Source organism: Homo sapiens, chromosome 2 (genome assembly GCF_000001405.40).
Source record: "Homo sapiens chromosome 2, GRCh38.p14 Primary Assembly".
NCBI classification, from domain to species: domain Eukaryota; kingdom Metazoa; phylum Chordata; class Mammalia; order Primates; family Hominidae; genus Homo; species Homo sapiens.
Genome location: NC_000002.12, coordinates 28,836,662 through 28,848,206, shown reverse-complemented (window position 1 = coordinate 28,848,206; position 11,545 = coordinate 28,836,662). Strand labels below are relative to the sequence as shown.

At 40.3% G+C, this 11,545-nt stretch overlaps 1 protein-coding gene across 3 annotated transcripts in view; it reads right to left on the bottom strand.

The window, feature by feature from the left end:
* Positions 1–11,545, bottom strand: part of SPDYA (speedy/RINGO cell cycle regulator family member A) — a 39,777-nt gene that overhangs the window by 2,404 nt on the left and 25,828 nt on the right. For 2 of the 3 annotated variants that reach the window (NM_182756.4, NM_001142634.2), the window contains one exon: positions 7,738–8,035. In NM_182756.4, coding sequence (NP_877433.2) covers positions 7,738–8,035 — 298 coding nt within the window. Of the gene's footprint in view, positions 1–7,397; positions 8,036–11,545 lie in introns of those variants that run through there. The other variant, NM_001008779.1, reaches the window with a different exon arrangement.

The window sequence follows — 11,545 nt, the reverse complement described above, 5'->3', positions numbered from 1 at the left end:
AGGAGCAGAGTATTCTGGTGGTATATTTCTGTATGTAACTAGCTGAACATTTATATAATAATGATGCCTTTATAGCTTTTATAACATTTCCAGATACAGTTATACATTGCTTAACAGTGGCAGTACATTCTGTTAAATGCATAGTTGGGCAGTTTCATCATTGTGTGAACATTACATAGTGTACTTACACAAACCTAGGTGGTATAGCCTACTACACACCTAGGTTATATGGTATAGCCTACTACTTCTAGACTGCAAACCTGGATAGCATGTTACTGTACTAACTACCATTCGCATTTATAAGACAATGGTAAGTATGTGTGTATCTAAACATAGAAAAGGTACTGTGTTGCAGTACAGGTCTATGATGTCAGTAGGTGATAGGAATTTTTCAGCTCCATTATAATCTTTCCTTCCATCCTTCTTCTTTTCTTTTCTTTTTCTTTTTCTTTTTTTTTTTTGAGACAGAGTCTTGCTCTGTTGCCCAGGCTGGAGTGCAGTGACACGATCTTGGCTCACTGCAACCTCCAACTCCCAGGTTCAAGCAATTCCCCGGTCTCAGCCTCCCGAGTACCTGTGATTACAGGTATGTGCCATCACGCCCGGCTAATTTTTGTATTTTTTTAAGAGACAGGGTTTCACCATGTTAGCCAGGCTGGTCACAAACTCCTGACCTTAAGTGATCCATCCACCTGCCTCGGCCTCCCACAGTTCTAGGATTACAGGTGTGAGCCACCATGCCCAGCCATTATAATCTTAGGGGAACACCATCCTGTATGCAGTCCCACCTTGAGTGAAATGTCATTATGTGGCGCATGACTATATAGAAGCTCTGAAGTGTTTGTTTGTTTGTTTGTTTGTTTTGAGACAGAGTCTCGCTCTGTTGCCCAGACTGGAGTGCAATGGCATGGTCTTGGCTCACTGCAACCTCCACCTCCTAGGTTCAAGCAATTCTCCTGTCTTAGCCTCCCAAGTAGCTGGGATTACAGACACACGCTCCCACGCCTGGCTAATTTTTGTATTTTTAGTAGAGATAGGGTTTCACCATGTTGGCCAGGCTGATCTCAAACTCCTGACCTCAGGTGATCCACCCGACTCAGCCACCCAAACTGCTGGGATTACAGGAATGAGCCACTGCACGTGGCCTGAAGTCCATTTTTTAATTCCATCATGGAATACTCCCTTTTCTTCTACCCTTCTATTTAGCTAGTAATGAAATTATGTTATTCATTTAATGCTTTGAATGCCTATTTTGTGTCAATCCCCAATTGTCTACTTTGAGAAGGGGCTGGCTTAAGAGCCAAGAAAAGTTCTGCCCTTGGCTCCTGTTTCATGGAGAATACATTGTTTCTGTTTGGCACATGGTGCTCAGTAGATGTTGAATTGAACAAGACCTTTTTAACAGTATCCATTCATTTCCCCTCACTTCCCTTTGTGTGTGTGTGTGTGTGTGTGTGTGTGTGTGTGTGTGTGTGTGTGTGTGTAGTTTTCTTCTATTTCTCTTCTTTTTCTTTGGTAGTTGTCCATTCTAGTCAATCAAGGCCCAGCTTAAGCTCTTTCTTCAGCCTTCCTCCAAACAATAAGTATGTTTACAGTCTGGTTTATGGGACAGATACCTTCTAATGTTAGCCTTCTATGTCTATGTCTGGCTGTCCTGTAAACTAAAGATTTGAGACTGACCGAAAACTGTCATCCCAATGCCTTCCAGAGGCCCTACCTTTTATACCCAGTAAATAGTCACTAAAACTTTCCTGATGTCTTTAAACCTACACTGGATCATGTTTTTGTTTTTGTTTTTTGAGATGGCATCTAGCTCTGTCACCCAGGCTGGAGTGCAGTGGTGCAGTCTCAGCTCACTGCAACCTCCACCTCCCAGGTTCAAGCAATTCTCCTGCCTCAGTCTCTGGAGTAGCTGGAATTACAGGCATGCACCACCACCACGCCTGGCTAATTTTTCTATTTTTAGTAGAGATGGGGTTTCACCATGTTGGCCAGGCTGGTCTCGAGCTCCTGACCTCAAGTGATCTGCCCGCTTCAGCCTCCCAAAGTGCTGGGATTACAGGCGTGAGCCACCATGCCCAGCCAAGGGTCATGTATTGTTTTATCTGTTGACTTGGTTGTTCTAGAGGGAAATTTAGGTATACATAGTATATAGTTCTGCGATTGTGGGAGGCTTTCATTTTGAACTTCATATTTTCAGAGGCAGTGGGAACTTCTGAAGTTTCTATGGTCATGTAAAAGGTATTTTAAGTTAATCTGTTAGTGGTGTCTATGAGAATTTAACTGGAGGAAAAAACTGTTAAATCAGAGCTTTCATAGTAATACATATATAAGGTGATTAATCGTAGAAAATGAGCAGACAGGTCGGGCGCGGTGGCTCACGCCTGTAATCCCAGCACTTTGGGAGGCTGAGACAGGTGGATCACCTGAGGTCAGGAGTTCGAGACCAGCCTGACCAACATGGTGAAACCCTGTCTCTACTAAAAATACAAAAACTAGCTGGGCATGGTGGAGCATGCCTGTAATCCCAGCTACTGGGAAGGCTGAGGCACAAGAATTGCCTGAACCCAGGAGATGGAGGTTGCAGTGAGCTGAGATCGCACCATTGCACTCCAGCCTGGGCAACAAGCAAAACTCCATCTCAAACAAACAAAGAAAGAAACAAAATATTATGAAAGAACAACCAGATAAGCTGGTAATTCATTGGATGCAGAGAGAAAATTTATATATCGAGACTTTTTGACTTACAATGGAGTTATGTCCCAATAAACTCTTGTAACTTGAAGATATCATTAAGTCAAAATGCATTTGGGCCAGGTGCAGTGATTTACATCTGTAACCCCACCACTTTGGGAGGCCAAGGTGGGAGGATTGCTTGAGGTCAGGAGTCCGAGACCAGCACCAGTCTGGGCAACATAGGAAGTCTCTACAAAAAAAAAAAGAAAAAAAAAAAAAAAGCTGGGCATGGTGGCACGTGCCTGTAGTGCCAGCTACTCAGGAGGCTGAGGTGGGAGGATCACTTGAACAGAGGAGGTTGAGGCTACAGTGAGCTGTGATCACATCACTACACTCCAGCCCAGGTGACAGAGCAAGATCCTGGCTGGTGGGGGAAAAAAGCATTTGGCTGGGCACAGTAGCTCACTCTTGTAATCCCAGCACTTTGGCAGACAGAGGTGGAGGATTGCTTAAGGCCAGGAGTTCATGACCAGCCTGGGCAATGTGAGACCCCATCTCTATTTTTAAAAAATGTTTTTATTTTATTTTTTTCTTTTTTGAGATGGAGTCTCACTCTGTTGCCCAGGCTGGAGTACAGGGGCATGATTTTGGCTCACTGCAACCTCCGCCTCCCGGGTTCAAGCAATTCTCCTGTCTCAGCCTCCCGAGTAGCTGGGACTACAGGCACCCGCACCATGCCCAGCTAAATTTTGTATTTTCAGTAGAGATGGGGTTTCACCATATTGGTCAGGCTGATCTCGAACTCCTGACCTCAGGTGATCCACCCGCCTCGGCCTCCCAAAGTGTTGGGATTACAGATGTGAGCCACCGCGCCCAGCAAAAAATATTTTTAAAAAGATGCGTTTAATACAGCTAACCACCGAACATCACAGCTTAGCCTAGCCTACCTTAGTGTGCTCAGAACGCTTACATTAGGCTACAGGTGGGCAACATCATCTGGCAATGCGGTACACTGTCGAAAATCAGTTGTTTACTCTCATGATTTCATGGCTGCCTGGAAGCTGCAGCTCACTGCCTCTGCCCAGCATCAAGAGAGACCATGATACAGCTTTCCACTGAATGTGTATAGCAACCATAGGTAAGTCAAGGACCAGCTGTATTTTCAAACTTCTGTCTGCTATTCAGAAGGCCCTTCCCTTAATTCTCTGGGCAAAACAGGACTCAGTCAATGCCCAGCTAATATCTTACTTTGAAAAACCTTCACCAAACCTCTCACCCCACAGAATTAATTCTGAAATCTTTTGTGCTCCTCAATGTTGATCATATACTTAGCACAGCCCTTATCACATTATTAACTTATATGCCCTAATTATACCTTCATTAAGTGTAAGAATTTTAAACCTGGGTGACTAGAACAGTGGTAATGACAAAAATAAGTAAGAAAATTCAAAGAAGGATTTATTTCTGAGGAAAAATTACTTGGTTTTAGATTATTTAACAGTTGTAATGTTACATGCCTCCCTATATGATCCAGGGCTAAAGCTTGGCATATTTTTTTTTCCCTTGGCTTCACTCTAAAATCTCATGGGTCCTCAGATAATACATAATATATATCTATGTTTCACATGGACCAGCCCAGGCGTCATAAAGCTTACAACAGCATACAGTAAGGAGAAACAATAGTAGTTTAGTTATTATAAAAATATGTTATATATTCAGATAGAACTGGGTTCCCATCTTGTTTCTGTTATTGTTTTACCTGGTAATGGTGTGACTTTTCTGAGTTTGTTTTTTCATCAGTAAAATGAATATAATAATGCCACTTCAAGATTTCTTAGGGGGTTGGATGTTAAATGAGATTAAGTATCTAGCGTGTGATTGGTGATTGTGATGTATATAAATATGTAAAGAATGCTTCATCTAAAAAAAAAAGAATGCTTCATCTATCTTTCCCAAAAGTCAATTTTTTTTTTTTTTTTTGAGACGAAGTTTTGCTCTTTTTGCACAGGCTGGAGTGCAGTGGCACCATCTCAGCTCACTGCAACCTCCACCTCCCAGGTTCAAGCGATTCTCCTGCCTCAGCCTCCTGAGTAGCTGGGATTACAGGCATGTACCACCACACCCAGCTAATTTTTGTATTTTTAATAGAGACAGGGTTTTACCATGTTGGCCAGGCTGGTCTGGAACTCCTGACCTCAGGTGATCCGCCCCCTCTTGGCCTCCCAAAGTGCTGGGATTACAGGCACAAGCCACCGTGCCCGGCCCCAAAAGTCAAATTTTTGACAGTATTTTTACCCCACCTTGTCAAATTGAAAAATATTTTGTTCTTAATAAATGTCATAAACATGTTTATCTAAAACTTTTATTTGAATGTGTTGTTTTTAACAAAAAAAATTTTAAGGTAGGAAAACATGTCTTTACCTGCAAATTGAGGAGTTGTTTGCTTGTGTTTGAAAGAAAGGTGGAAGCACTGATCACCATCTATGCTAAGTTTCGCATAGAAGTCTAAAGCAGAGCATAAACTTTTGTGTCTTTCTTGGAGAATGCTGAATTCAGTTTTTGCAACCACATACTATCAGATGATTCCAATCTTAGGTGGAATGGAGGAAGAAAATTTTGCTAGTAGAGGTCACTAAATCAGCAGCTGTTTAGGCAGTGAGAGACTTATCCCACTCCTGTAGCATCATGTGTTCCTATTATCCTGCACTCTCCCCTCTACTCCCAGTGAGCTCACTCTCCATTAAAACTATTGGAGGAAAATGAATGTATATTTTTACTGGTAAAATATGTGTACAATCAATACTTTTCCTTTATATTGCTTACACTCTGACATCCTGAAACAAAGAGTTTTACAGTTAACCATGGGTTAATACTCAGAATAAAATGGCTATGGGTAAATACTTGTTCCTTCCTGTATAGGACCTATAAATCCTAAATCATGGCTTTCACCCAGTGAAAGGATGAAAGCACACAGTTCCTTCTACAACTCCCCTAAGTTAATACCCCACTTTTCATCCACAATCCCTCAAAGACCTTTATTTTTTCTCCAAAGTATACTGACTGGCACAGCCCCTTCTTCCCCAGGTGCACTCAAATTTCCTGTTGAGATGTCAAGGCCTATACTGTGGAGTGTTATTACTGTTGATACCTACAGTGGTTGGTCTGAATAAAATATGTATAACTGCTTCTGTTTTGCTTTCTGTAAATATCTGTTCAAATTCTTGGAATTCTCTCCCAGCTCACTTCATGTAGCCTTTCATCAGGGACTTAGATCTTAATGCTTTCGCCACCTCCTTAGTAGTCTGCTAGAAGGCTTCCGTGGCAGCTTATTTTCACTGCCAACAGCAGGATTGCATCAAAAGGGCAGTAGACCATAATATTTAGGAATTCAGGCTCTAGTTTGGAGTCAGAGACCGGGGTTCACATGTCACTCCAGCTCCTTGGGCAAATTATTTAACTTCTCTAAGCTTCAGTTTCCTTATCTGCTGAGTGGAGGTATAGTATTCACCCTAAAGTTGGCTGTGAATATTAAATGATATTATGAATATAAAATGCATTATATATTGCCTTGGACATTGTAAACATTCAGTAAAGCTTACCTATTATAAGGATCAAAGAGTAAAGGAAGCTGGGAAAGGAGGGATGCTAAAAGACAATTTTTTAAATAGATGGGGTCTTGCTATGTTGCCCAGGATGGTCTCAAACTCCTGGCCTCAAGTGATCCTCTTGCCTCAGCATAATAAAAAATATGCCTGAAGGTGTTGAAAAGGAAGAGACTATACTGTCGTGCAAATTTGTTGAGTGATTACTATGGCCAAGAAATGGAACAATGACTGAGGCATAACCCCTACCTTCAAGAATCTTAGAGTCTAGTTTCTCCTTTAGTAAAGCTTCAGTAGCCACTATTAATATCTTTGTGGTAAAAACAAATAGGTAAAATTTTGAAATAATGCAGGTGTGTTAATTTCTCATGATAGAATTAGAAAGGACCATGAAAAATCTGTCCACCCTGTCTTGAGATGGGTGAAAATCTGGAAGGCTTTGTAAGTAAAAAGGATCACTGATAGTAGAATATTATTCTAGTACTATTTCTAGACATTTCTAGAAAAGAAATGTCAGATAATACTATATATAAAAATAATTTGAGTGAAATTATGGTGCAGTTGTATTTTTTCAGCTAATAAGGTTCTTTTCTAATTAATACTCTATTGCTGAAAGCCACTTAAATCCCAACAAAATGAAATATATAAAGAAATTATGGTACTTATACCATGTCAGAATTAAAAATCAGGTTTTGGCCTGGGTGCGGTAGCTCGTGTCCGTAATCCCAGCATTTTAGGAGGCCGAGGAAGGCAGATCACTTGAGGCCAGGAGTTCGAGACCGGCCTGGCCAACATGGTGAAATCCCTCACTACTAAAAACACAAAAACTATCTGGGCATGGTGGCACATGTCTGTAATCCCAGATACTTAGGAGGCTGAGGCATGAGAATCACCCGAACCTGGGAGGCGGAGGCTGCAGTAAGCCAAGATTGTCCCACTGCACTCCAGCCTGGGCGACAAAGTGAGACTCTGTTTCAAAAAAAAAAAAAAAAAAAAAACTGGTTTTGGAGGACTCAATAATGACATGGGAAAATACTTCGTGATAAATGAAAAAAGCAGGCCTAGATATATAGTATGGTTCTAATTTTGTTAGAAAAGTATACAGAAGGAAACCAATAGTTGGAAGGTGAGATTACAAGTAAATTTATTTTCTTCTTGAAACCCTTTTGAATAAAATAAACATTTCAAAAAAATGATTCAGGCTCTTAAAATACTGAGGCTTATGGTGCATTAGTTTTCAACTTAACATAGGTCACATTAAAAATCTGTTTAGGTGGGTCACCACAAAACAAATATGGACACAAGACAAAAAGTAACTGAAAGGGGAGAAAGTTTCAAGATTAATTTAACTCATATTGTTGGAGTATATAAATTATTATGTATCCCCGCCAGAAAGGACTGACTAGAGCTCAGTAAACAACATGCATAAATCTAATTCTGGCATATTACTAAATCATACCTTCAGAACCAGTATAAGCTTGAGAAGGATCACCTATTATGTCCATTGACAGTGAGTTGTATGAGTCCTGAGAATGTTTTTCTGTCACCCCTGCTGTATGACTGGATAAAGATGATGATGAAGACAATCCCAGTCTAACATATCTTCTTTTTTTACCACAGAGTGAACAATCTACTGGTGTGGCACTAGGTCCCCGGGGCAGCTGAACTTCATCTCTGTTGTAGTTTCTGACAGCTCCACTGTGATGAACAGAACGTTCTCTTTGCCAGATATAATGGGTTGGTGCAATGGCCATAACCTATAATAGAAAGCTAACTTTTAGAATTTTAGTAATATTTCAAAATTTACTAAAATTGAGTTCAAAACTTATAACTCAAGAACAACTGTCTCTAAAGTGAAGATAAAAATCCAAATTGCTGATTTAAAAAACAAAGCACTTCCAGATAAGGCAATATTACTAAAAAGTGACTCATTGCTTGGATCTTTAAGACAATAATTGACAAAGTAAATTATTTTAAACAGGAAATAGGACTGAAGCAATCTTCCAGGTTGTCAGGGTATTTATTTTTTAATTCTGAATATTCTAAGTTTGGGAAAGATAATACAGTTACTCCAAAACAATATGTGATTCTTAACTTTGGAATGTATTGGGTTAAAAAAAGTTAATTGGCCGGGCGCGGTGGCTCACGCCTGTAATCCCAGCATTTTGGGAGGCCGATGCGGGTGGATCACAAAGTCAGGAGATCAAGACCATCCTGTCTAACACGGTGAAACTCCGTCTCTACTAAAAATACAAAAAAATTAGCCGGGCGTGGTTGTGGGCGCCTGTAGTCCCAGCTACTCAGGAGGCTGAGGCAGGAGAATGGCGTGAACCCGGGAGGCGGAGCTTGCAGTGAGCCGAGATCGCGTCACTGCACTCCAGCCTGGGCCACAGAGAGAGACTCCGTCTCAAAAAATAAAAGTAAAAATAAAAATAATTAAGGTTCCCAGCTATGTGTGTTATGGTAATCTTAAAATGTCTGCAATTATGACAAGAGATATGGTGAATAAGAACATAGGTAAGTTATTTAACCTCGCTGTTCCTCAGTTTTGTCAGCATGGAGATAATAAATGTCTATTTTAGAGGGTTGCTGCGAGGATCAGATGAGGCATTATTTATAAAGCCTCACTATCTTCCAGGCATTGTTCTATAAGGTTTGTTAAATAAAACATGGGCTTTAGAGTCCGGGTACACTTGGTTTCTTACCCTGGCACTGCCACTTGCTAGCTGTATAATACTGGGCAAGTTATTTAACTTTTCTGGGACTCAATTTCTTCATCTCTAAAATGGGCATATCATCTACTTCACAGGATTATTCTGAGGACTAGATGAGTAAAATCATCACATAGTGAGGATCTGGCAAATGACAATTATTTAAGTCAAGCTGGGGAACTGTACATATGTGCTAACCTCATGAAATCTAAAACTTCTAAGCATTCTAAGCAAAAGTCTTTAGTTACAGTCATCAATGACCCAAAGTAAATGAGAACTGTAACATTCGAGAGCTGGACAGAGCCTTATTAATTGCCTAGAGCAGTGATTTTCAAAACATTTAGAAAGTCCAGGTGCAATGGCCCACTCCTGTAATTGCCACCATGCCCAGCTAATTTTTGTATTTTTAGTAGAGACAGGGTTTCACCATGTTGGCCGGGCTGGTCTTGAATGCCTGACCTCAAGTGATCCACCCTCCTCGCCCTCCCAAAGTTCTGGGATTACAGGCGTGAGCCACCTCGCTCAGCCAAAAACTGTTATTTTTGCAATAAGTTCATCATAGTCTCTCCACATACTAACCCACCTAGGAAAATACACAATCATGGTTATTTTTAAATATGTCTACATATATTTTATACACATATAATCATATAATTAGAATTTTACTGTGATAAGTGAATTAAAAATAAAACTACCAGGGTCAAGAGAGCTAGATTTTCATCTTAATTCTGTTACTCTGGCAGGTGCAGTGGCTCACACTTGTAATCCCAGCACTTTGGGAGGCTGAGGTGTGCGGATCACTTGAGGCCAGGAGCTCGAGACCAGCCTGGCCAACATGGTGAAACCCCATCTCTACTAAAAATACAAAATTAGTTGGGCATGGTGGCGCATGTCTATAATCCCAGCTACTTGGGAGGCTAAGGCAGGAGAATCGTTTGAACCTGGGAGGTGGAGGTTGCAGTGAGCTTACACCTTGCCATTACACTCCAGCCTGGGTGACAACAGTGAAACTATCTCAAAAAAAAAAAAAAAAAAAAAATCCGTTACTTCTATGACCTTGGGCAAATTACACAACTTTCTGGGCCATAGGGTGTCTTTTATATGAGAAAATAGGTCACTTTCAGTCCCCCAATGCTGTGATTCTATGAAACGGACTTCTCTGAAACACTAGTAGCAGTTGATGTACTAGAAACATCCCCCTTTTTTACTTTATCTTATTCTTTTGTCATTTTTAGTGATTGGGGGGTGCCTTGGGTCAGTGTTCCTAAAATTTGATACTTGGCCCTCTGTTTTTCTGTGTATATACTCTACCTGTCTGTGATCTCAAGAGGTAGTATAATATAGGTGTTAAAAGCACTGACTGTCAAAACCAACCCAGTCAGCTTCTCCTCTCCCTGGCAGGGAGGAGAATGGGGAGGAATGGGGAGCAGACAGGGATAGGCATGAAAAAATTAAAAAAAAAAAAAAAAAAAAAAGCACTGACTCTGGAGTCAGACTGCCTAGGCCTGAATACTGGAGTGCTGCTTTACTTATTGTGTGTCTTTGAAGAAGTCACTTAACCTCTCTGTTCCTTAGTTTCTTATCTGGGATTACCTAGCTAGATCTAAGAATTGTGAGAGTTAATAATACATGGGCAATACTTAGAACAGTGCCTGGAAAGTTCTTAAAAAGTATTAATATTACTTTGACCTTGAATCTCTTAAATACTCGAAGCATCATTTATACGTAATGACTTTTACCATACCTGTTGACCATTCATTTAATTATATCCAGTTACTGCCTTACATTCATGTCTATATACCAAATTCCTTATCTTCCCAAAGAATCCAGTTTGCTTCTGTAGGCTTCCCTATTTCCATTATGGAACCCATTACTCTTCCTGTTATATATATTTGAAACTTACAGTTCCCTCTCCCATGTACCCTATATCCAACTGGTTACCAGGTAATGATAATTATAATTTTTTAACATTTCTAACATCTGTTTCATTTTCTTCAGCACTGCTATCAATTTTCTTCACAACCTTGTTTCCAGCTATAGCAAGTTTAGCAGTTTCCAATACATTCCCTATATTGGATCTCTTTTGCATACTGTCATTGGATTATTCTGTCAAAACACACTACTTATCTCATTGCTTTCTAAATTCCTAATCTGGAATCAAGTAATAGATAGTGAAGAACTCAGCTATGATGATATTGTGGCATCTTGGCCAGAGTATTAACGGGAATAGAGAAAAACTTCTTGATTAAATTGCTACCCTCCATGATGCATGAAAGGGGCTGGAAGTGTAGTCTAACTCTCTCATTAGATAGGCATCCTCCCTAATGTGTGAACCAGTTTAGAAATTAAGCCATCACCAATGTAAATAAATCCCACCTTAAAGGAGTTGTTGATAAGATCATCAGGTAAGAAGATAAAATCAGAATAAACAAAGAAATAGTCCACTCTTTTCTGGAGAAGCCCTATATATATTTTCCAATTTAATCACAACCCATCTCTTTCCAAAAAGGAATGAGGCAGCTGAGAAAAAAGGGGAAAAAATTTCATTGAGCTTAG